This window comes from Homo sapiens, chromosome 6 (assembly GCF_000001405.40).
Source record: "Homo sapiens chromosome 6, GRCh38.p14 Primary Assembly".
Taxonomy (NCBI): Eukaryota; Metazoa; Chordata; class Mammalia; order Primates; family Hominidae; genus Homo; species Homo sapiens.
Window position 1 is genome coordinate 56,864,983 of NC_000006.12, and position 27,018 is coordinate 56,892,000.

Genomic DNA, 27,018 nt, shown 5'->3' on the forward strand with positions numbered 1-27,018 from the left:
CATTTATGCTTCAGTATGAATAAGGCCACCAGACTATGTCCTGCAGAAGTGTTTTGATAAAACGAAAAGGGAACACTGAGGCTCCTAGAAGTAGATAAGCTGCCTAGATCACAATTTTTCCTGGAGCCATTTCTGACAATCACAGAGACAGAGATTCAAGGAGTCAAATGAGTCTGTCCTAACAGAAACAGCCTAGCCCAATTCAGAACACCATTCAAAAGAAATATGGCCTGGAACACTTTAATTGTGACAATCTACCTCCCTGCTTCCCTAGTTTTCTGTGTGTGTGTGTGTGTGTGTGTGTGTGTGTGTGTCTGTATGTGTGTGTGTGTAAGAGAGACAGAGAGAGAGAGAGCATCTTGCTCTGTCATCTAGGCTGAAGTGTGGTGGTAAAATCACAGCTCACTGTGTGGTGGTGAGATCCCAGCTCATGGCAACCTTGACCTTCCAGGCTCAAGCACTCCTCCCACCTCAGCCTCCCAAGTAGCTAGACTACATGTGTGCCACCACACCTGGCTAATTTTTTTGTTTTTTGAAGAGATGGGGGAAGAGTGGCCAGGGAATTGTCTCACTGTGTTGCTCAGGCTGGTCTGGAACTCCTGGGCTCAAGCAATCCTCCTGCCTCAGCCTTCCAAAGTGCTGGGATTACAGGCATGAGCCACCATGCTCAGCCTTGCTTCCCTAGTTGAAAGTAAAAGCTCATTACTGCTCTGTTGAGTCATAGGGACAGATGGCGTTACCTTCTCACCTGCCTTCCTGATTCTCTAGGTAGAATATAATCTTTGATGGGATCTGATGGAGTCTGAAAATCTGCTACCAAAAACTGCTGCCACAATGTCTGAAATGTTCCCATTAGAGCATTTCTAAGGCACAGGGAGATTTTGAGTTTTATCATCTTCTAAAACACAAAGATAGCTAAATTCAACTGGATTACTAAAATGATATACATAAAGTACATATAGGCATTCAATAAATTAGAGCTATGTTTTTTTTTTGTTTTTGTTTTTTTGTTTGTTTGTTTTGAGATGGAGTCTCACTCTGTTGCCCAGGCTGGAGTGCAGAGTGTAGTGGCGCAATCTCGGCTCACTGCAACCTCTGCCTCCTGGGTTCAAGCAATTCTCCTGCCTCAGCCTCCCGAGTAGCTGGGGCTACAGGTGCATGCCACCACACCCGGCTAATTTTTTTGTATTTTTAGTAGAGATGGGCCAACTCACTATGTTGGCCAGGCTAGTCTCGAACACCTGACTGCAGATGATCCACCCACTGGGGCCTCCCAAAGTGCTGGGATTACAGGCATGAGCCACCATGCCCAGCCAGAGCTATGTTGTTCTTATTCCAAGTCACATTCACCTCTTGCCTGAACAATTATTGGAAAATATCTTCCAACTGATCTTGCTTGCCTCCTTGTCCTCAACGATCTATTCTCCATACAGAAGCTAGATCCAGTCTTCAAAGACCTAAGTCAGAGTACATCATGCCTGTGCTCAAAACCCTCCTGTGGCTTTCCACTTCACTCAGGATAAAATCCAAAGCCTGCACCATGACTTACAAGGCCTCCTGATGTGCTGTTAGGTCTCTGCTCAAATGTCAACCTTTTAAAGAAAGTTCTTCCCCTAAAAGCCTTATGTAACTTTACCCTCCTCACCAATTACTCTATGCCCCTTATCCTGCTTCACTTTCCCCCACAGCACTTATTACCATCTGAAACATTATGTATTTACTTGTTAATCTGCTTGTTGTCTGTCTCCTCCACCAGAAAGTAAGCCCTTTGTTTCATTCATGCTGTGTCCCCAGTTCCTAGCATGGTGGCAAACCCATAGCAGGTGCTCAGAAAATATTTGTGAAATGGGAAAATGAACAGTAAAAGAATTTTGCAAAAGCACCCATACTAACTAGCACACAGTTTGTATGTACTCAACGAGTTCCAATTTCCTGCAATAAATATTAGTTTTTTCTTATTTATCTTTATTTCTTATTTATCTTATTTATCATCGCCTGCAATACTTGCCCTGAAGCTTGTTACAGAACAACAGATTTAAAGCACAACATAGTCTCACAACCCACAGTTAAACCCTCCTAACCATAAATCAGAAATGGGATTGCTCTCAGCAAGCTAACTGGGGGGATAACAGAGAACCGAGGCTAGACCTGGCCCTGCAGTCTGGCAGAGCTCTGTGCCTCCTGACCCAGCTTCACTACTTATTAGCTATAGGACTTTGGACAAACTACTTAAACTTTCTAAGCTTTGGCTTTCTTATTTATAAAGAATATCTACCTCTTAGGGTTGCTATATTAAATGACCTAATGCCCATTGCCAAGCACAGAGCCTGACTCATAGGAAGTGCTTAAGAAATGCCCACTACTGTTAATATTGTTGGTCAGCATCAATAAAAATGCTGTTGATATGAAATGTCTGTCTTTATAACTTCATTTCTTTTACAGTCTCATTTATGGTTATCTCTGGAGTTATAGGGAGCTGATAAAGTTCCAAAAGAGTTTTTAAAAGATTTAAAAACAGGAAATAATGATAGTCATTTATTTATAAAAAGCAGGGCTTGGCTGGATGCGGAGGCTCATGCCTGTAATCCCAGCACTTTGGGAGGCCAAGGTGGGCGGATCACGAGGTCAGGAGATCAAGACCATCCTGGCCAACATGGTGAAACCCCGTCTCTACTAAAAATACAAAAATCAGTGTATTTTGAGGTATGGTGGTGCACAGCCGTAGTGCCAGCTATTCGGGAGGCTGAGGCTGAGGCAGGAGAATCACTTGAACCCGGGTGGCAGAGGATGCAGTGAGCCGAGACCGCGCCACTGCACTCCAGTCTGGCGACAGAGCGAGACTCCGTCTCAAAAAAAAAAAAAATAGTAGGGCTCTCATTTCAGAAAAAACTATTTTTCACTTCCCTAGTATCCTGAAACGTCTGCATCTCAGACTTCTTGATTCTTCTGCTTTAATAAACAGACGGGTGTGCCTGGAGTCATGGTGATTACCCGTGTTCTAGAAATAAACTTCAGAAAGCTGTGTTGCCTCTTTAATACTCCCATAAATTCCAAATATTATTATGTAGTTTTTTTAAAAAACATTAAATGTCTGGGTTTTCTAAATCAATTTTAAACATGGGGGGTGTCAGTTCATTTTACAAAACATGCAAGTAGAAATAATTATTTTTAATTTGTAAGTATAAACAATTTTAAATGCTTAGCTAAACATGGCATATAAACAGGAAAACAATGCAGCGTTGAAGAGAGTGTTCTCAACTATGAGGTCTTGTTTCCAATCGTGGTTCTGATAGTTCAGCATCTCAGGTCACTGTTCTGGGCCTTATTTCCTTAAAACAACAACTCAGGCTGGATGACTTTTGATGTTCCTAAATTGTCCACAAATCCATCATCTCTAAAGCTTTTTTGATATACAAATTCCATACCTTTAATGTTTCATTTTCAAACTTCTAAAGAGCCTCTTTATATAGTTACCCTGAACTAAGTTTAAATGCTAATGAGTCAGAGATATTGTGTATTGAGTAGCACATGTAAGAAAACAGAAAATACCCTCTCCCAATGCCACAACTCACCGTCCTCTCAAAAAAAAGAAGTGTATTTTGGACTACAACATTTTTTTAGAATGTTGTTAACTACCAAAAACAAAAATAAAAACCAATGATAAAATAAATCAACAATAAAATAAAATAATTTGACAATCACAACTGCTATTTAACAATTTTTATCTGATTTTATCACAAAAATATTCCATGAACATTTTCTCTATTGGAGTTTTAGGTTCAACTCCAAATTATAACAAAACATGGTGCAATTAGGAAGTTGATTTGGCCTAACAGAAATGACAAATATGTACTGAAATTTGAGAGTTGAAATAAGTGAGTCACTACAGCACTTCTCAATACCCTATGTAAACATGAATTCTACCCTCTGTGGGAAATGAAGGTCCTTTGTCATCTGCTTTAAGACCAAGAGATAAGAAACAATTGGCTAAATGTACTGCACAGCCCTACATAGAAATGAAATTATACTAAAAATAAGGACTAAAAGCTATGCCTTGGCAGACGATGGCTACTGTACTTTGATAATGATGTACAGATTTTTTAAAAAACTTTTGGTGGCTCTAGGTATGGATGCTAGAACTTTGGGGTACATATGGCTCTGATCTGAGGGGACCTATTTTGGGGAGTCTAGTCATACAAAAACAAGGCAAGGGTTTCTCAGATATATTGCAGACTTGACTTCCTAACAAACCTTCCTGCTGTACAGTAGCTAAAAATGCTGGATAAAATATTTTTAAATGAATCAGCAAAGGGGCAGGAAAATAAGAAAAATTCTTAGAGGCTAGAGCAATAGAAAAGCAAAAGCACAAATACAGAAATGTTAGGCTGATTCCCTCTCATCTAAAGTTTCACTTGACAAACAGGAGACAGAAGAGTAGGACGACCTGCTCAGGGGACAGAAGACAAAGCCAAAGGAGTCTCAGTGAAAAACACAAAAATAGAAACAAACAAATAAAGCCAGGGAAGCATGAACTAGGAAAACCAAAGAAAAATACCCTGAGATTGCAAGGACACTTGCCCATGTCAAGCTTGTGGCTGGACAGAGAAGAAAAAAAAAAAAAACTTCATAACCACAAGCTGATTCTCATGTGTATTTTATGGCCCAAGTTCACACAATCTATGCAGTATGAAAAACTCTGAAACTGAGATTTTATTTTTATTTATTTTTTTGAGACAGGGAATCGCTCTGTCACCAAGGCTGAAGTGCAGTGGTACAATCTCAGCCTCAACCTCCCAGGCTGAAACGAGCCTCCCACCTCAGCCTCCCGAGTAGCCGAGACTACAGGCAGGCGCCATCATGCCCAGTTAATTTTTTTGATTTTTAGTAGAGACGATGTCTTGTTATGTTGCCCAGGCTAGTCTTGAACTCCTGAGCTCAAGCAATCCACCTGCCTCGGCCTCCTAAAGTGCTGGGATTACAGGCATGAGCCACCCGCACCCAGCTGAGATTTTTTTTTTTAGATTTCCCTGGCAAAACTAACAGAATATCCACTCTAGAGAAATGTACTTTCAAGCCTAGCCTCTAAAATTACCACAGATAAAGTTCAGTCAAAAATGAGCTCGTGGTGAGACAGGACTAGCTGGATTTCCTAGGCCAACTAAGAATCCCTAAGCCTAGCTGGGAAGGTGACCACATCCACCTTTAAACACGGGGCTTGCAACTTAGCTCATACCCAACCAATCAGGTAGTAAAGAGAGCTCACTAAAATGCTAATTAGGCAAAAACAGGAGGTAAGGAAATAGCCAATCATCTATCGCCTGAGAGCACAAGGGGAGGGACAATGATCGGGATATAAACCCAGGCACTCGAGCCAGCAAAGGCAACCCCCTTTGGGTTCCCTCCCATTTTATGGGAGCCCTATTTTCACTCTATTAAATCTTGCAACTGCAAAAAAAAAAAAAAAAAAAAAAAGAGCTCATGGTAAAAAGTCACAAAGCAGCCAGGCACAGTGGCTCACGCCTGTAATCCCAGCATTTTGGGAGACCGAGGTGGGCAGATCACCTGAGGTCAGGCGTTCAAGATCAGCCTGGTCAATATGGTGAAACCCTGTCTCTACTAAAAATACAAAAATTAGCCGGGCATGGTGGCAGGCACCTGTAATCCCAGCTACTCGGGAGGCTGAGGCAGGAGAATCACTTGAACCCGGGAGGTAGAGGTTGCAGTGAGCCGAGATCATGCCATTACACTCCATCCTGGGCAACAAGAAAGTCACAAAGCATACAATGAAACAAGGCCCCACTGGTGAAACTATAGAAACAACAGACACAAATCCATAGGCAAAAACTTCAGGTATGTTAATTATCAGATATTACATATAAAATAAACATATTTTATATATTTAAATAAAGGGAAAAGAGTATCAAAAGTAGGAGTTAGGAATAAGAGACTGTCAAAAATACCAAGCAATGAAAATATAATAATATAAATTAAAATTCAGTGAACAAAGAATATGTATATATAAAGAACCCACTCAAATCAGTAAAAAACATACAAACAACCAAAGAAGAAAAATAGCAAATGAAATGGACAGACATTTTGCAGAAGAGAAAACATATATGGCTAATAAACATACAAAAAGATATAAACATATGAAAAAATGTGTGGGGCTCTTCCTCTTCCCCTAAGTGGCCTGAGGTAGTCTGTGAAAATGGTTCACTATTTACTTGACCCAGAGAACCACACAAAGTCATGCAAATCAAGAGGTTCAAATCTTCGTGTTCACTTTAAGAACACTCGTGAAACTGCCCAGGACACCAAGGGTATGCATATACGAAAAGCCACGAAGTATCTGAAAGATGTCACTTTACAGAAACAGTGTGTACCATTCCAACGTTACAATGCTGGAGTTGGCAGGTGTGCCCAGGCCAAGCAGTGAGGCCGGACACAAGGTCGGTGGCCCAAAAAGAGTGCTGAATTTTTGCTGCACATGCTTAAAAATGCAGAGAGTGATGCTGAACTTAAGGGCTTAGAGGTAGATTCTCTGGTCATTGAGCATATCCAAATAAACAAAGCACCTAAGACACACTGCTGGACCTACAGAGCTCATGGTTGGATTAACCCATACATGAGCTCTCTCTGCCACATCGAGATGATCCTTACTGAAAAGGAACAAATTGTTCCTAAACCAGAAGAGGGGGTTGCCTAGAAGAAAAAGATATCCCAGAAGAAACTGAAGAAACAAAAACTTACAGCACAGGAGTAAATTCAGCGTTAAAATAAATACAATTAAAAGTAAAAAAAAAAAAAAAAAAAGAAAAAGAAAAGAGGTGTGGCATCATTAACAATCAGGGTAAAGCAAATCAAGCCCACAATGGGGTTAACAGATTGCATGTATTCAACTGGAAAAAAAAATTAAGTCTAATATTACTATGTGTTGAAAAGAACGTGGCTCCTCATGCTCGCTTAGACGTGGCTGAGGAAAGTATAAATGGGTGCAGGTATTTTGAAAAAGAGTTTGGCATTATCTCCTGAAGTTGAACTTTCATGTATGTCCAGCGATTCTACTAAGAATTGATCCAGTAATTCCACTAAGCATATACACAAGAAAAACTGCACATGAACAGTAAGAGGCATGTACAAGAAAATGCACAGTGGCACTCATACAGTAAAGGCCTGAAAACAAATGTCCCACTTACAGGAGAGCAAATGAGCAAACTGTGGTATAGTCATACAAAAGTTGAAACAAATAAACTATAGTGAACAATATTATTAGCAATACTATTAGCAATAGCATATTAAGTGAAAAAAGGTAGTTTCAAATAATTACATAAAGTATGATAACATTTTTTATTAAGTTAAAAGTAACTAAAATTTTAAAATTAAAATTTTTTAAGCTAGGCGCAGTGGCTCATACCTGTAGTCACAGCTACTCAAGAGGATGAGGTGGAGGAATCACTTGAGCCCAGGAGTTTGAGGCTGCAGTGAGCTATGATGGCACCACTGCACTCTAGCCTGGGCAACAGAGTAAGACTCCACCTCTAAGAAAACAAATAAATAAAATAAAAAATTTAAACTTTTTAGGAATAAATAGACTAGCAATAAAACTCTGTGAACAGGGAAACAAGAGAATGATGAAATGTGTTTCAGAATGATGGTTATCTTGAGTAAGAACACTCAGGCCAATGGAAAAAGAGACCATATCATTAGACATAGGTTACTACCAAGATCTTAGCTTTTGTTTTGAGTGGGGGTGTATAGGTATTTATCAGATAGATAGAAAGATAGAGTAATTTAAAAATAAATAGGTATGGAAGTGCAGAATCTCTTCAATACACTGATTCCCCCCCCCCTTTTTTTTTTTTTCGGATATATACCCAGCAGTGGGAACTACTATATGCTAGATCATATAGTAGTTCTATTTTTAGTTTTTTGAGGAACCTCCATATTTTGTTTTCCACAATGGCTGTACTAAACTTACATTCCTACCAATGAGCATTCTCCTTTCCCTGAATACCTGCTAGCATCTGTTATTTTCTTTTTGATAACAGACATTTTAACCAGGGTGCGATGATATCCCATTGTAGTTTTAATTTGCATTTCCTTGACAATTAGTGATGTTGAGCATCTTTTCATATACCTGTTCGTCATTTGTATGTCTTCTTTAGGGAAATATCTATTTAGATCTTTTGCCCATTTTTTAATCAGATTATTTGTCTTTTTGCTCTTGAGTTGTTTGAGTTCCTCACATAATCTGGTTATTAATCACTTGTCAGATGAATAGCTGGCAAATATTTTTTTCCCATTCTGTGGGCTGTCTCTTCTCTTTGTTGATTGTTTCCTCTGAAGCTTTTTAGCTTGATGTGATCCCACTTGTCAATTTGCTTTGGTTTCCTGTGCTTTTGAGGTCTTACTGAAGAAATCTTTGCCTAGACCAATGTACTGAGGCATTTCAATAGCAAGATATGAAATCAACCTAAGTGTCCATCAATGGATGAAATTATAAGGAAATTGTGAGATATATATATATACACAAAGGAATATTATTCAGTCATAAAGAAGAATGAAATTCTGTCATTTACAGCAACATAGACGGAACTGGAAGGCATTATGTTAAGTGCAGTAAGCCAAGCACAAAGAGAAAAATATTGCCTGTTCTCACTCATGTTGGAGTTAAAATAGTGGATCTCATGAAGATAGAGAATTGAAAGGTGTTTACCAGAAGCTGGGAAGGTTGGGCGGAGAGGGGAGATGAAGAGAGGTTGGTTAATGAGCACAAAAATACACTCAGAAGGAACAAGATCTAGTGTTTGACAGCAATATAGGATAGCTGTGGTTAATACTTTATTGTATAGCTCTAAATAACTAGAAGAGGTTTGGAATGTCTCCCAGCACAAAAGAATGATAAATGTTTGAGGTGATGAATATCCCAATTGTGATCTGACCATTACACACTATGCTTGTATCAAAGCACCACATGTAAGCCAGCTTCAGTGGTGCATAACTATAGTCCTACTACTTGGGAGACTGAGGTGGGAGGATCACTAGAACCTAGGAATACAAGGCTGTAGTATACTTTACACCTGTGAATAACCACTGCACTCCAGCCTGGGCAACACAGAGAGACCCTGTCTCTTAAAAAACACAAAACAAAAAAACCATGTACCCCATAAATATGTACAACTATTAGTATCCATAAAAATTAAAAACAAAGTTGCCTCTGGTGGGTCACACCTGTAATCCCAACACTTTGGGAGGCCAGGGTGAGAGGATCACTTGAGCCCCGGAGTTCAAGGCTGCAGAGAGCTATGAGTGCACCACTTCTCTCCTGCCTGGGCATCACAGCGAGATCCCATCTCTTAAAAAAAATCAATAGATAAAACTTAAATTTATATAAATTAAATAAACAACTGAAAGTGGCACATGAGCCAATGGGTGTCATGAATTCACCATCTTACTTTCTTTTCATCCCTCTTATCACCACCTAAAACCACTGTCAATCATAACTACATTTGTAGTTCATTTAATAGCTCACAAAACTTGTCAAAAATATTATCTCATTTAATCCCTGCAACAATCTTATGAAACGTGCATTGCTATCATTCTCATTCTACATAAGGGAAAACTATGGCTAAAAGAGATAAGTGACTGTTCCAGTTTAAATCCAGTTCTTAAACTCCAAATTCTGCATTCTTTCCCACATGAGCCTGAAAAATATCTATCCGTTCTAATCGCTCCACATGCATCTCAAATCATGTGATATTTAAGAGATCTCGAAGAAATAATAAAATTAGCACCAAATCACCAAAAGTAGATGCCAAAACTAACACCCTTGAAAGGTGAGATTCCTCAGACTACTGGATCCCTTTCTCAGCCACCTAAACAAGGTCATATTAAAGGCCTGGTTATCTTTACTAATACCATCTTCAATCGCACACAAACACATAACCTTCTAACAACTCCTGACTGAGCTTCTATTTGGAACCTAAGCCACAGATGTTTTTTGTTTTTTTGTTTGTTTTGAGATGGAGTCTCGCTCTGTCGCCCAGGCTGAAGTGCAGTGGCGCGATCTCCGCTCACTGCAAGCTCCGCCTCCCAGGTTCACCCCATTCTCCTGCCTCAGCCTCCCGAGTAGCTGGGACTACAGGCGCCCGCCACCACGCCCGGCTAATTTTTTTGTATTTTTAATAGAGACGGGGTTTCACCATGTTAGCCAGGATGGTCTCGATCTCCTGGCCTCGTGATCCGCCCGCCTCAGCCTCCCAAAGTGCTGGGATTACAGGCATGAGCCACCATGCCCCGCCTGCCAGAGATGTTTTAAGATGCTCACAGGGCCCTGAGCCACTCTTTTACAGGTCTCATCACATTAGACATATACTCAGACACATTCAATACATTTTCCATTAAATGCTTGAAAGGGCTTTTATTATTTGAAAAATATATTTTGTTAAAAGTTATTTTTGTGTAATTTTAAATTTCACTTATGCACAATTATACAAAAGTTGAATTGCAACTGGGCAGTTGAAATAATGACTAGTCATTTAATTAAAGATTGTTTTTAAAGTTAAGTTCCAAGCTTCTTATTTTGGAATCAATAACATGTATTTAGGTCCCAGTGATCTCAAAAAGCCTTTGAAGAGCTCATGGACCCTAAGGACAGACCAGAGTGTCTAATGGACACACCATCAGGCCAGGAGCAAAGGCTACAGATTATTGGTGTCAATGGTAGAGGGCTGTCTGTGGCTACCCCTGGCTCCATCCCTAGAGCTGCTGGAATCTTAGCACAGGTGAACTTATCCACCACACCACTTCTCCCTACCATACTTGTATACTACCCCCAAATTCAAGCCCCATGGGCAACTCTTTTCTCAAAAACTATCATCCTTTTGCTACTCTGTAGCTGCTCCACTGCTGCCCGCCTAGTCAACTCTTTTCTAGGTGCCCTTTGAAACCTTCATTTAATTGTCAGGAAGCTCTAACTCCTCACGAAAGTGCCATCTCCACTGCTTGCCTTACCTTAATCATTCCACGTTGTATTTGTTAAGTGCCTGCTCTCTATACCTCTGCACCTCTCCAGCAGAGGCTTCTGCTTCTCCTGCATGTCTCATCGAAATCCCGGAGGGAAACATCATCCAATGCCGCTCTCTTCCTTTCCCTGAATTGTCACTGTCTGACCTCTGGTCACACTCCCTCATTTGCTGAGGACTTTGGAACCTGACTCATTGCTTCTTCTTCACTTTGAGTGTAGTCATCTGGGAAGATTTCCACATTCAATGTGGATGGGCCAGCCAACACCTCAGCCACAAAAGTTCCTAGCCTCCTGAGTTCAAATAATCTTTATCTTCTCTCTTCTTCTCCCAGCATGCCATGGCCCCATTCTGGATGATCACATCACCTGGTACTGAACCAACTCTGAGACCTCTCACTGTAATCCAAAAATGTGACCTCCAATTTTTGGCTCTCCAGCTCTCTCACTCCTCTTCAAGCTAATCCAGACCTCTAATGCTCTGTTCCTGGACTGCCGTTAAGATTTCCTGTTCTTCTTCATCAAGCCTCATGATGCATCATTTCAAGCATTCTCTTGACATCAATATCCCAGCTGCCTCCTTTAGAGCTATCAAGTCCACCCTCTATCTTGGATCAGTTGAAACATTCACCTTAACTCCCAATTCTAAATGGCTGAAATGTGCTTTGAAAACACTACTCAATGAAGCAGCTTAATCCCTCGACAAATGTCCAACCATCTAACATCAACTGGGTTCTCAGCACTGTTTTTCTTTAACAACTTCTAACTATCCCCAAATGTATCCATTTCTACTCTTACCCTCACCTGCACTCTGTCCAGGCCCAGGAAAGGCCCCCTTTCATCTCCCTAAAATATCTCAAATGTCTCCCATCTTATGAAAGACCTTTCTGAATCCTATATCCTCCCCAGCTTACTGCCTAAATTCCTGTCTCTTCTTAGGCAAACTCCTTTAAAGGGTAATTTATAAAGGTTATTTCCATGTCTGTATCTCCTAGTCATTTTTTCCCCATTCATTTTTAAATTGACTTGTATTTGTATCAAAGTAAAATGTGCCTATAAGAAGCAAATAATGCTAAAAAAACATTTGGCCTAAAAGGCTCTTACCTAGATACCTGGCTCTGATCAAATGTCACCTTATCAAAGAATGTTCCCTGACTGTGCAATGTAAACCCATCATCCCACCCCAACACTATCTTCCCCCTTACCTGAAGCATTTTTCTTCATACCATTTACCACCTCCTAGCATAATATAAATTTAGTTATTTGGCCGGGCTCAGTGGCTCACGCCTGTAATCCCAGCACTTTGTGGGGGCCGAGGTGGGCAGATTACTTGAGGTCAGGAGTTCAAGACAAGCCTGACCAACATGGTGAAACCCTGTCTCTACTAAAAAATACAAAAAATTAGCCGGGCATGGTGGCAGGCACCTGTAATCCCAGCTACCTGGGAGGCAGAGGCAGGAGAATCACTTGAACCCAGGAGGCGGAGGTTGCAGTGAGCAAAGATTGTGCCGCTGTACTCCAGCCTGGGTGACAGAGTGAGACTCCATCTGAAAATAAATATATAAATAAATTTAGTTATTTGTTTTTATTTTTATGGGATCTGTGGCACAGAGCAAACAATAAATATGTGTGGAATTAATGAAAATCTATTCTAACAGGATATCAAATTGGAACATTTTTAATTAGTTTCAACTGATATCCCATAGGCTGGGAACAACACAATAAATGCCACTATCCCCCAGTCCTAAAGGAAAGTGTTGGAACAGTGCAACTCAAAATATGCCCATGGACAAATACCAGTCTGAGAACTGTTTTTATTGGTTTGCTATAAGATAAATACAGAAATTGGAAGTATTTAGAGACTTTTAGAATAATTTGACATTGCTTTGGAAGTACAACTGGTCAACAGACTTGTCTTGTTGAACAGACTGTTTCAGGTGCTGTTGAACTCACATAATACATCACCAGTGTGATGTGAACTGAAGACCAGTCATGCAATAAAGGGCCAGGTATAGACCTGTAATGAATTGGAAGTTAAAAAAAAAAATCTTTCCCACAAATGTACGCAATGCCCTGTGCTAAACCATCTGTGACAACCACGTTAGGACAGTGTGACACAGATTAGAGCAACATGAGCCCATCACCACTCTAAGAGGGTAGACAAAGCCAGAAACCAAGAGGAGAGATTGTTTTGTAGAAAGCTATTTATGTCTTGAGCATTTCCTCCTAGAAGAGAGGTTGGTGTGCATATCCTATGCCTTAAACCAAGGGAGAGGGCTTCAAGGAGACACCTTGAAGGGTAAAACATGTCTCCCCTGGAGTTTAAGGAACATGTGACTAGAATATGACTCTCACCAAAAGACTCTAAAGGTGAAGACTGTGGCTGGAATAAAAGGCATGCTTGGCACTGAGCTGCCCCTCCGTGGCACATGCTTTTGGGAGATCTGTCATGGACCCAGGGACAGAGGGAGCTAGTTTAAGCTCCTATTCAAAGGGATCCTATCCAAGAGGAATTTGTGGATGGAAGGAGGGACCAAACAGATGGGGTGAAGCATCAGAAGCTCAGAGGACCAAGGCAGGAATACACAAGCAAAGAAAAATCTTTTCCCAGATGAAAGGAAATACAACACATTCAGAGGACACAAACTGCCAGGTCATAACTATAAGGGCTGTGCAAAACTAGGCCCTTGTCCCCTAATCCCCTCTCTCCTTGGCCAATCCTAGAGCAGTCAAAAACAACAACAGGAGAAAATGAGGAGAGAAGAGAGGGAAAAAACCAACCACGTCTTTTGCCACTGCAGCCTGAATCTCTGTCAAGCTGAGAGAAGGCAAAAAATATTAACGTTGAATATGAAGTTGTAATAATTCATGAGGCTAGACTGGAGTTATATTATTATTAGACGAAGCAAAAATCTTTAATGCTTGACAGTGACCCAAGGGCTTTCCATTATCTAAGAATCACCAGTAAAGTTGTGGCACCTGCCTTGAGTTTTTCCTTAGGAGTAGAGAGTGAGTTAAATGGTAATTAGTGAGAAAGAACAAATTTGATTTCTCTTTGCACTCGAATCAATAAATAGATTATACACAAAAAAATGTGGTCCCCTGGCTCTTCTTCCCACCTTCTCAGACACAACCACTTTCAACTTTCTACGTATCTTACTGCATTTATCTTAATAGTTCCGGCCAGGCGCGGTGGCTCATGCCTGTAATCCCAGCACTTTGGGAGGCCAAGGCAGGTGGATCACAAGGTCAGGAGATCGAGACCATCCTGGCTAACACGGTGAAACCCCCGTCTCTACTAAAAAATACAAAAAAATTAGCCAGGAGCGGTGGCAGGCGCCTGTAGTCCCAGCTACTCAGGAGGCTGAGGCAGGAGAATGGCAGGAACCCGGGAGGTGGAGTTTGCAGTGAGCAGAGATCACGCCACTGCACTCCACCCTGGGAGACAGAGCGAGACTTCGTCTCGGAAAAAAAAAAAAATAGTTCCAAGTAACATGCATATAGTGGTATGTCTAGGTTTATTAATTATAGTTATTATCTATTCAGTCCCTATTAAGATAGATAAAGAATTATACCTTTCTTACAGAATTTTTGCATACATCCATATTCAGTGATATTATGGTTAATTCCATCTTATATCATTCACTCCTTAATTAAGTAGTATACCATGATTAAATTTTCTTGCTTCCTCAAATCTATAAATAGATTAATCCACACAATAACACTCACTATAAAGTTATGACCCCCATTCTAAACTGGAGGAACCTGAGCCACAGAGAAATTAAGTAACTCACTTGCCCAAAGGCACTGAGCTGGTAAGTGCTGAAACCAGAATTTAAACTCACATTAGGCTGTATAGTTCCAGAATGCACACTCTTAGCCCCTCCATGATAGTGCTTATGTTTGCTAAAAGGTTTAAGTCATAGCTCAAGCAAAATTAAACTGGGCCTAGCCCATTACTAAAGTAGGTGCTATTGTAGCATATGATAAAGACATTTTTAAAATTTCTATTCCCACAATGAATAGGTACCTTTCAAAAGAGTATCCAGAAAGGTACTTTGGATATGTAACATACAACCCAACTTGTTAATTCATCACAATAACTGAATGTATGATTTTCCTTTTATCCATTCTTCACCCTGACTTCTCACCTTACAATTTTCTCTTAGCTAAAGTTAAGCGATAACTCTTCAGAAAAATAGTCTAGAGATTCATTATTAAAAATATATTGAAATCTTACAATTCTCTGGTGCTAAGGTTTAGAACACAAAATACAGTCTCTTTCCTCTAAAATGATGTAATTCTTCTCATTACTAAAGTCAGAATAAGAGATAGAACTACAATGAAGAAATTACTTCGGAGAAACCATTTTAGTACGTTTCTTAGAAAGCAGTATATTAGGCCAGGCGCAGTGGCCCATGCCTGTAATCCCAGCACTTTGGGAAGCCAAGGTGGGCAGATCGCTTGAGGTCAGGAGTTCGAGACCAGACTGGCCAACATGGTAAAACCCTGTCTCTACTAAAAATACAAAAATTAGCCGGGCGTGGTACACACACCTGTTATCCCAGCTACTTGGGAGCCTGAGGCAGGAGAATTGCATGAACCCAGGAGGTGGAGGTTGCAGTGAGCCAAGATCACACCACTGCACTCCAGCCTGGATGACAGAGTGAGACTCCGTCTCAAAAAAAAGAAAAAAGAAAAAAAAAAAAAAGAAAGCAGTGCTGTTCTGTTTTTCAACTTATCTGGTTCCATAATTAGTGAAAGAGATATTTTAAAACATTGATTAATGAAATACTTAATATAGTCCCTAGTAATATAAAATACTGTCTTTCTTTTTTTTTTTTTTTTTTTTTTTTTTTTGAGACAGAGTCTTTGCTCTGTTGCCAGGCTAGAGTGCAGCGGCACAATCTCGGCTCACTGAAAGCTCCGCCTCCTGGGTTCATGCCATTCTCCTGGCTTAGCCTCCCGAGTAGCTGGGACTACAGTCGCCCACCACCACGCCCGGCTAATTTTTTGTATTTTTTTAGTAGAGACGGGGTTTCACCGTGTTAGCCAGGATGGTCTCGATCTCCTGACCTCATGATCCACCCGCCTCGGTCTCCCGAAGTGCTGGGATTACAGGCATGAGCCACCACGCCCAGCATAAAATACCATCTTTCTCAAAGTTATATATACCTAAAGAAATAAGGCCAGGCACGGTGGCTCACATCTGTAATCCCAGCACTTTGGGAGGCCGATGGGGGCAGATCACGAGGTCAGGATTTCAAGACCAACCTGGCCAACATAGTGAAACCGCATCTCTACTAAAAATACAAAAATTAGCCGGGCTTGGTGAGACATGCCTGTAGTCCCAGCTACTCAAGAGGCTGAGGCAAGAGAATCACTTGAACCCGGGAGACAGAGGTTGCAGTGAGCCAAGACCATGCCATTACACTCCGGCCTGGGTGACAGAGTGAGACTCATCTCAAAAAACAACAACAACAAAGAAATAAAAGAACAAGTGAAAATTAGAATATAAAACAAGTAACTGATAAAAGAATCAGACAATGCCTGACATCCAACTGACTGATCTTCCCACCCCATTTCCCATCTTCAAACTCAAAAGTTTATTTTTATGTTTTTAAAAAACCCAAATTTTTAAGAGCAAGCCATAGGCCACAGAATTCTAAAATTCTCCAACCATATTCAGCCTTTTACTCCTAAAAACAGGAAATAGTACAACTCAAAAGATCAACAATCTGAAAATTTAATCCAAGTGATATCTCTTTATTGGTAAAAAAAAAAATCACAATTTCTATAATTTGCCATCAGTGGAAGAATTCAAGCCTGACTAACTCATTCACATTTTATTAAATGGGTGGCTAATATTCAATTTCATAGAGACCAAAAAAAGCACCAAACAAAGGGAGAGGGCAGCGCGTGCACAAGAAACTTGGCTAATGATTTTTCAGACACCTCTCAGTTAAAACTCCAAAAGCTGAATGAACACAGAAATCCACTTTAAAGTATATGTTCAGGTCGAATGTATAATTTTTGCCCTTCTGAACTCCTGGGACAAACGTTTATGCTCAATAATGTTTAACCTTCTTGAAATGCAGAAGGAGAAAAGGCTCAAAGCAATATGTCAGAACTGATTATCATAGTTCAAGAGAAATGGTTGTCCTGATGGCCAAGAAAAATAGGCTCATTTTCAACATGAATGCTGGCCACTTAAAAATAATTATTTTCCTGTGGCTGCAAATTATGAAAATTAGTAGCATGAAAGCACATGTCCTGTAAGGACCCCATTGCTTCTGAAAGATATCCACATCCAGCTATCCAGTTTTGGAGAAAGTAAATGGGTTATTTTTATTGTGTTTGGCAAAGTAGCTAAAAATTATACTCCATTCTCAATTAACAATGCCTATTTATAATAGGGCTAATATATAAATAAAATTCACAGATAATTCTAAAGCATCCTAACTAATGATAGTTTCAAACTTTCTTAATTAAGCTATGAACAGAGTTAGAAATGTATAAATCACTGGCTTGCCTCCCTATTTAGCAACAGAAAATTAAAAGTATAAGCAGCAAAATGAAAGCAAATAATCTACCACTGAAAAGCTATCTCCTGAGCAGAGAGTCACATAATGGCATGTAATGCCAATATTAAAGATTAACTCAAATCAATTAAGCAACTCAATATCTTGCATTTTAGCCATCATCAAAATTTCATGAGCTCTGTGAAAAGATATATGTGTAATTTGCTGGAATAAAATCATACTAAAATGGAAGAATTCTATTTACTAAGAAAAAATTGTTAGACCAGCTATCGTTTAAATTTCAGCAAGACAAAAGTCAAGCAATGTGATAGCATGTTGCTTTTTTCTTTTCCCCCCCAAGACAGAGTCTCGCTCTGTCACCCAGGCTGGAATGAGGTGGCATGATCTCAGCTCACTGCAACCTCTGCCTGCCAGGTTCAAGCTGATCCTCCTGCCTCAACCTCCCAAGTAGCTGGAATTACAGGTGCGTGCCACCACACCCAGCTGGTTTTTATATTTTTAGTAGAGATGGGGTTTCACCATGTTGGCCAGGCTGGTCTCAAACTCCTGACCTCAGGTGATCCACCCACCTTGGCCTCCCAAAGTGCTGGGATTACAGGTGTGAGCCACCACGCCAGGCCCATGTTGCCTTTAAGGTCAGTTTTGTTTCAATGATGATTCTAGTCTCAGATCAATAAATCAGCAAAGAACAAAAACAGTAGTCTTGCGGGAAAAAAATCTGCTCTAGATTTTAAAACAGAAGAATATGCCTATATAATTCCTTGTCTATTTTATATTATTTGTTTAAGTTTTAAATAATAAGCACATTTTATACACCATTCACTAATATGGTCTGTCAAATGTTCTAAGTAAAAAGACAACAAATAAGCAAATAGTTCTTTGTTAAAAGAAAACAAGAAGTAAAAAGAAATCAGGAGATGGCCATAAGAACAATTTCCCACCTTCTGCCTTTCTAAAAACCTTTTAATAATAAATATCTAAAATCTCAAAATGTTATTAACAAAAATTTAGGCTTACTCTACGGAAAACAAAAGTGTTGATGATGCAAACTTCAAGTAAAGGTTTGTTTCTTTCTCTAATGTCTTAAACCTTTCATTATGGAAAATTTTATGCTTATACAACAAAGTAAAACTATAGAGAACTGCCATTTACATGCCCAGCTTGAACAATCACCATCTCCTGGTCAGTGCTATTTCAACTATACCCCTATCCACATTTTCTCCCCTACCCCACCAGATGATTTTAAAGCCAATATGAGGGATTTTATTTCATTATTAAATATTTTAGTATGCATCTCTAAAAGATAATAATTATTTTTAATAAAATAAAAATACCATTATCAATCTAAAATATTTTTATAAGTTTCTTAATATCATTAAATATCCAAGCCTGGGCAACAAAGCAAGACCATGTTTCTTCAAAAAAATTAAAAAATTAGCCAGGCTTGGTGGCACACACCTGTAGTCTCACCTTCTCAGGAGACAGAGGCAGGAGGATTACCTGAGTTCAGGAGGTTGACGATGCAGTGAGCTGTGATTGTGCCACTGCACTCGAGCCTGGGTGGCAGAGTGAGAACTTATCTCAAAAAAAAAAAAATTCATTGTTCAAATTTCCCCCACTTTCTCTTTTTTTTATATTCGGTTTATTCACCCAAATAAGGCATACATGTTACATTTGGTTGGTAGGTCTTTTAAGTCTCTTTTCTTGTATAGACTATCACTCCCACATTTTTTCTTATAATTTGTCAAAGAAATTAGGGGTATTTGTTCTAGAGTTTCCCACACCTCAACTTAGCTAAATCCTAAATGTATCTTCACTATCTTCACCTTATCATTTAACATATTCCTCTGTCACCTGTATTTTATGTAAATCTATAATTAGAACTAGCAGTTTGATCTGATTTAGGTTCAATTTTTAGCAAGAATACTTTATAAGTATTTTTGTATACTTTCATCAGGAGACGCATATGTGTGGTTGTCTCTCATGTATTAGCAGTCATTGATGATCAGTGTCTAGGTTCGTTATTTTATTAGGGCTTGCAAGGTGGTAAAATTGTAATTTCATCATTCCTTCTTCCTTCAACAGCAGTAGGAGCCTCTCCAAGTTTACTCCTGGTGCTGACATGATCCCAGTAGTCTTTGATGCTTCCTTGCTTTCGAGTTTGACAAGATGTGCCAAGCTCATTTTTTTTTTCTTTTTGAGATGGAGTCTCACTCTGTTGCCCAGGCTGGAGTGCAATGGCGCGATCTCGGCTCAATGCAAGCTCCGCCTCCCAGGTTCACACCATTCTCCTGCCTCAGCCTCCCAGGTAGCTGAGACTACAGGCACGTGCCACCACGCCAGGCTAATTTTTTTTGTATATTTAGTAGAGACGGGGTTTCACCATGTTAGCCAGGATGGTCTCGATCTCCTGACCTCATGATCCGCCCACCTCGGCCTCCCAAAGTGCTGGGATTACAGGCGTGAGCTGTGAAGCTCATTCTATATTTTCTGTTTCAGGTCTGGAATCAGCCATTTATCCAACAAGTTTGTGATTGATGGTTTCTATGAGTGTCCTGGCTGCATCCCTTCCACCTGGCCAATGGACTCACATACAGGCTACTGTGAGGGTTGGCTGCTAATGGCTCATAGCCGCCCTCCCCTTCAGGGACTCCCCTAACCTAAAGCTTCCTCACACCCCCAGCCCTAGCAGCCCATAACCAATGACTGACTGAGGTGAAGGACAAAAGGCTTGGCTTCAAGTTGAGACTAACTCTGCGTACAATTCATGTGCCAGGGTTCAATATTCAGAAGTGGAATAGTTGGCTCATATGATAATGCTATTTTTTAATTTTTGAAGACCTACCATACTGTTTTCTATAGCAGTTGAACCATTTTACATTCCCACCAAGAGTGCACAAGGGTATATAAACTTAATTTTAACAACATATTTGCTTAGGTATCTGCTTTGGTTTGAATGTTGTATCCCACCCAAAATTCATGTGTTGAAATTTAATCCCCAATATGACAGTATTAAGAGGAGGGGCTTTTTGGAAGTGATTATGTCATGGGGGCTCACCATCATGAATGGGTTAATGCCACTACAAAAAAGGCTTCAAAGAGCTCCCTTGCTCTCTCTTGCTGTCTTTGCCTTCTGCCTTCCACCAGGTGAGGATGCAGAAACAAGGTGTCATCGCTGAGGAACAACACCTCACCCAATACCAAACCTGCTGATGCCTTGGTCTTGAACTTTCTAGGTTCCAGAAGAGTGAGAAAATAAATTTCTATTATTTATAAATTACCCAGTCTCAGGTATTCTCTTATAGCAACACAGATGGACTAAGACAGTGTCTGATCCCCATCGATCTTAGTAATACTGAGCTGCATGTAGCAAGGGTCAATGTAGATTAGCCAGTGGTATTACCCAGTATCAGAGTTGATTATCTAATTTACCAATTCATAATTGAATAGGGTGTGTGGAGGAGCAGCATGGGCTTGATAGTATTAGACCAAAGTGGACTTGCCAATACACAGGTAGCCTAGGGTGGCCAACACAGATAATGCAGGCTGTGAGCAGACTCTCAAAGATGTAAAGCTACTCCCTGGGAATGAGTCACATTGGGATACTGAATAATTCCTCCAGTCAAATGGAATCTATATTCTTCTCCCTGGAAGTTCTCACCCAATTCTCTAAGCATTGTCAGAGATAAAGACTAAATAAACATAGGATAAACACAGGAGACAACAGACTGCAAGGATGAGAGAGGTCTGCTTCTAACTGACCTTATGAACTTAAGCCAATCACCTACTCACTGAGGTTTAGTTTTGTCAAACTGGATCAATAATATATGCCATACCCAACACACAGGGTGTTTGTTCAGGAGATAATGAATATGAGCAGTCTTTGAAAGTATGAAGTGCTACTTAACTACGAAGTACTACTCCAAAGCTATAATTTTCCTGAAACAGCCAGGCATGGTGGCTCACGCCTGTAATCCCAGCATTTTGGGAGGCCGAGGCGGGCAGATCACCTGAGGTTAGGAGTTCGAGACCACCCTGACCAACATGGAGAAACCCCGTCTCTACTAAAAATACAAAATTAGCTGGGTGTGGTGGCACATGCCTGTAATCCCAGCTGCTCGGGAGGCTGAGGCAGGAGAATTGCTTGAACCCAGGAGGTGGAGTTTGCGGTGAGCCGGAGATCGTGCCATTGCACTCCAGCCTAGGCAATGAGAGTGAAACTCAGTCTCAAAAAAAAAAAAAAAAAAAAAATTCCTGAAACATTACTGTCATTTCTAGAACTGAATTCTCATCTCCCAAAGCACAAACTAAATTTTGTTCAATTTCCATAGATTGATTTTTTTGAAACACAATCATCATCTCAGAACTAAAATAAATAAATAAAGAGAGAGAGACAGAAAATATTGAGAGAAATCAGACCCTTATCACTCACTTGGAGGTGGTTTAGAAGAGTAAAACAAAAATGATGTTTGGAAAAATTAAGAATTAGACTTAGGAGAAAAGTTCAGAGAGATAGAACCATGAGCCTAGAAAAGAAACAATTTATTGATTTTCAAGTACAATTAACTTGCTGCTAATTAGCACTATTTAATGGTAGGAGATTGTATCACTAAAAGTACTGAAGCAGAGAGGAATCTAGCATTACAAAAACTGTTAAGTCAGATGAGCTCTAAGATCCCCTCAAGCTTTAACATTCTTTGATTCACAAAGACTGAGAGTGACACGGTAGCAGGTGGCTATGCTTCATCCTCTCCACAGAGGATACCACAATAAGAAATGGTCTTAAATTGTAAGGCATGGGATTTAGGGCAAAGATCAAGGAGTTGTTTCAGGCAGAGATGGCTGTTAAATTCCAAACAGAATTCTGAGGTAAGCTATGGCTGTGTCCTTTAAAATAAAGGAAGCTATACCCATCTTACCAGAGCAATTTAAGGATTTCTTTGGTTAGAGGTGAAATAATAAACTAGACCATCTTTGAAGGGGCTTTCTTTTCAGTCCTTTGATCCATAGTTGTCCATGAAAATTTTCAAAGTGTAAGTGACTATCTAAATGTTTTCTTTAAGTTTCCTTGGTTTGGAGATTAAAGAATTTAAGGTTTTTTTTATTTAAGACAACAGGTTGTCATCACATACAAGAAAGACATAGAAAGAATGGCAAGAGGTCTTGCTTCAGTCAAAATACTGACCTCAAAAAAGAATCATGAGTTATGAACACATGCTTATTTTTCTCCAAGCAGAACACATGAATCCCTTTACCAAGTTAATCTTGGTTTCATGAGTTGTTTATAGAGACTAAACTGTTCATTCAATACAGTCTACCTACCTTGCACATTCTTGTGCCCCTGTGCATTAATTATTCCAATACCTTACTGTAATTTATTATAGCAAGCCTATAATAAATGAAATCTTTTTTTTTTTTTTTTGAGATGGAGTCTCGCTCTGTTACCAGGCTGGAGTGCAGCAGTGCGATCTCGGCTCACTGCAACCTCTGCCTCCCGGGTTCAAGCGATTCTCCTGCCTCAGCCTCCCAAGTAGCTGAGACTACAGGCACGTGCCACCATGCCCAGCTAAGTTTTGTATTTTTAGTAGAGACGGGTTTCACCATGTTGGCTGGGATGGTCTCAATCTCTTGACCTCGTGATCCGCCCGCCTCAGCCTCCCAGTGTGCTGGGATTACAGACGTGAACCACCACACCTGGCCATAAATGAAATCTTTTATAAAATTCTATTAATTATGAACCTAAAAAGGGAGGTACAGCAATATGTAGCAAAGACTCAGTACATTGAATGGGTGTCATTCAAAAAAATTCTTTTCAGATAATTAGCAAAAGAAATTTGACTTTATTAATCAATTCATTCTCCAGAATTCCAAAGGGGAAAAGGAAACAAATGTTTCCTCTAAGAGCTTTGGATTTGCTAGTTAATTAGCCAAAGTAAGGTATGAGTTGTACAGTTATGCCTTCCACAAAAGGGGAAATATCCTAAGGTTATGCACATAGAGCTGCCTGGTCCTACATATTTGAAAAGGAAAGGGAAAAGGAAGACCATTTTAATAATCTAAGCAGGAAAGGAACACAGAAACACCCTGCTATATTTTCAAGAGATCAAGGATATATGCTTAAGTCTTTCCTACACTCCAAAAAGTTCCCAACTACAAATATGACAAAATCTGGTTAATTTAATTATTACAAATTAAAGCTATATAATGTTCCAAAATATACTGCAGCCTTACAAAAACCTAAGCTGTAATCAGAAAAACAGAAAATTTCCCCAAGACTGAAAAACAGAAACCCACAACAGAAGGAAAAGAAGGGTGAGGTCAAGGAAGTGGTGGTTTAGTTGGGGAGAGTTCAGGGAAGGGAAAATCTAATGAGTACATCTGGGACTTCATTTCCTGCTATTTTCTCTAGTCTCTACCTGAGTGGCCTTTTCTTGGCCTAAAATGAATAGCCTTAAATCAAAGTCAAGAGCTACCTAGACCCATGTCTGCTTAAGGCATTTATATTTCTGAGTGAAGAGTTGGAAGTTATAAGCGATCCTCAGTCCTCTTCCCAAACTCTCATCACTGGCAGACTCCAAGGCTCAGACCTCAAGTGTCTTCTCTTCTCTATCAAATTCATTTTCGGAGTCATCCCACCCAGTCTTATAGATTTAATAACATCTATGTACAAATAATTCTCACATCTTCCATGAAATCCAGACACAAGAATATCTAATAGTTATTTCAAACTTCACATATCCAAATCAGAAAATTTTCTTTCCAATCCTCAATCCAAACCTGCTTCTTCCTTTGTGCTTACCATTTCAGAAAAGAGGATCACCCAATCACCTGTGTTAGGCCCATATGTCCTCCAACTCCTCAGTCAAAACTGTCAGGTTCAAAAATCCCATTGCTTGATGGTGGTGGGAGCCCAAAAGTAAGAAAACAGGTGCTCAGAGGCTAAGATTTTGCCAGCAGGGAGAACAAGCTGCAGCTTTGGCAATAACCTGGGAACACTAGCAATTTTTAATTATACTTTTTCAGCTCAGTGAGAAAGTCTCAAAGATTCTAAGTCACCAGGAAATGCAGGCAATGCTGTTGCAGTGTGCAAAAAACTGGAATCAGTGAAATGTAACAGGAGTAGAGTCAGTATGTTTGATTATTTCCTGATGCTCTAAAACTGTTATTTCCCCATACCCACCCCCAATCTCAAACACATAAATACTTTTTGGGTCTGAAAGTTGTACATTAACAGGTTCATGTGAGCAGGCAGTAGGGCAAAATTACTCTTGCTTACTTCTTGCTACCTCCTAGGTGCCCTGCCACAGAAAGAGGGGGCCAATTTTGCCAATAAAATGATGGCAAAAATGATGTTTGAGGTTTACCTATGGTTTTCAATACCATTTTAAAGATAGGTTTTAATTGATGTAATAGTTTAAAAACACAAAGATTTCATCCATATCTACCATCTATGCAGTTAGAAAAATGAGACTCAAAGTAATTAAAATACTTCAGGAAGGCTGATGAGGATAAATGTCTAGCACTAGAATTGTAATCATGGGGAGTTCTCCATTCCTTACTCAAAAACGGCTCAAGCCAAGAGTGCCTAGGTTTAAATGTTAACTCCATGATCTACCAGCTGTATGACCTTGACACATTTCCTCCCTGGAAAGTGAGCACCGACTCCAGAGAATCGCTGAGAAGATAAAATGAGAGAAAAACAGAGAAGAGTGCAGAGAACAATGCCCATGTATTGTCAATGAGGTAAACATGCAGTAATGCAAGAGTTCTTATGATGATGATGATGATGTTTAAAAATCCTGGGATTCAGAAACAAAACAAAATGCTTTGTAATGTGAAAATACTAAGGAATAAATGGAGATCTGGATCTAATTATCTTTTCTGTTTCAAGATGGTAAAAAAAATTCCTAAGCATCCTAGTGACATATCTTAATATACAGTATAAATCCAAATACATATGTACTGAGAGGAAATCAGGATAAATTTTTAGTTTATCCACTTTTAGAAACATCTAAAACAAGGAGTAAAATAAAAAATCTAGATATTATTAAGTTTTTATTAGTGATCCCCATTACAAATTCTTATAGGTATATTTGCATATAGCTTACAAATCCAGAATAAGTAAATAGGTTAAAACAGCTAAGGATGCTAAAGTATTTGCATTTCACATAACACTTCAAGAGGATGGTCTGACTGAAAGTAGCTAAAACTGCACAGTCACGCTTTCTGACTCATCTCCTTTGCAGTTACTTCTGTTTTCAGTCTTTCTCACTCATGGGCCTATTTCTTATTTAGATTGCCACTAGAAATGCCTTGAGTGCTTCATATAAAGTCATTCAAGTAATCCTGAATCACCATAACTGATTTATTTTTACTCCATCTCCAAGCTATAATCAGAGTTGCTTTCATGGCAACACGTCATAACACTGATTTTCTCCAAATGTGTACGTTTAGAAAAGACACAGGCTTTAGACGCATGTTGAATAGGGTGGCTCTAGCAGGCACTACTGGCTGCACCTAACCAAATCCAGAAGAGGACACAAAGCCTCAGTTCAAGCTCATATATGGCATTAAAAGCAGGGAAATGTCGGCAGAGGCCAAAAGGTTCTAGAAGCCTGCACAGGAATTGTGTGAGACAAGGAGCCAACAGCCTTCTCACTACCAACTCTGACAACGTCCAGTCTCTCAGACAACTGACAGGAGATGCAGTAAGACACCCTGAAGACCTCTCCCAGCTGGATGTGGTGGCTCATGCCTATAATCCCAGCACTTTGGGAGGCCGAGGTGTTCTCTTGAGCCCAGGAGTTCAAGACCAACCAGGACAACACAGACAGACTCCACCTCTACAAAAAAAAAGTTAAAATTAGCCAGGCATGAGGCGTGGTAGCGGGCACCTGTAGTCCCAGCTACCCAGAAGGCTGAGGCAGGAGAATGGCGTGAACCGGGAGGTGGAGCTTGCAGTGAGCCGAGATTGAGCCACTGCACTCCAGCCTGGGCGACAGAGTGAGACTCCGTCTCAAAAAAAAAAAAAAAAAAAAAAATTAGCCAGGCATGCTGGCACCTGCCTATAGTCTAAGCTACTCAGGAGGCTGAGATGGGAAGGTTGAGCCCAAGAGGTTGAGGCTGCAGTGAGCCGTGATTGCGCGACTGCACTCCAGCCTGGGTGACAGAGCAAAACCCTGTCTCAAAAAAAAGAAAACTCCTCGGTGGAGCTTGCAGTGAGCTGAGATCGCACCACTGCACTCCAGCCTGGGCAAGAGAGCAAGACTCCGTCTCAAAAAAAAACACTCCTCAGAATGGTTTTTTGCCCATGCAACTGAGTAATCTCCACTGCTATTTGCTGCCCTCTAATCTCCCTCTCTTCCAACAGATCCTTCAGGAGAGAGGGTGAGGCCATCCTCAGATTCCCCACCAGCAGTCATCAGCAGATGTCAGCAGAACACCATGGGTTAG

The 27,018-nt window shown here is 40.1% G+C and overlaps 1 protein-coding gene and 1 pseudogene across 4 annotated transcripts in view, besides 3 other annotated features; one reads left to right on the forward strand and one right to left on the reverse strand.

Annotated features, from left to right (window-relative positions):
• Positions 1 to 27,018, reverse strand: part of DST (dystonin) — a 496,835-nt gene that overhangs the window by 406,987 nt on the left and 62,830 nt on the right. The gene's annotated exons all lie outside the window — the stretch shown is intronic.
• RPL17P26 (ribosomal protein L17 pseudogene 26) lies at positions 6,189 to 6,801 on the forward strand (annotated as a pseudogene).
• Positions 22,566 to 22,735: an enhancer, noted in NCBI's record as "experimental_92361 CRE fragment used in MPRA reporter constructs". NCBI's record gives its function as "activates a minimal promoter by MPRAs in K562 erythroleukemia cells, with activity observed for the introgressed 6:56752431 or rs34714091 variant allele {active_cell/tissue: K562}" and the evidence as "EXISTENCE:reporter gene assay evidence [ECO:0000049][PMID:34662402]".
• Position 22,651: a transcriptional cis regulatory region, noted in NCBI's record as "Neanderthal adaptively introgressed variant 6:56752431 (GRCh37/hg19 assembly coordinates) or rs34714091 in the experimental_92361 CRE". NCBI's record gives its function as "modulates activity of the experimental_92361 enhancer by MPRAs in K562 erythroleukemia cells {active_cell/tissue: K562}" and the evidence as "EXISTENCE:reporter gene assay evidence [ECO:0000049][PMID:34662402]".
• Positions 25,718 to 25,777: an enhancer, noted in NCBI's record as "active region_24706". NCBI's record gives its function as "activates an Ori minimal core promoter by ATAC-STARR-seq in GM12878 lymphoblastoid cells {active_cell/tissue: GM12878}" and the evidence as "EXISTENCE:reporter gene assay evidence [ECO:0000049][PMID:35858748]".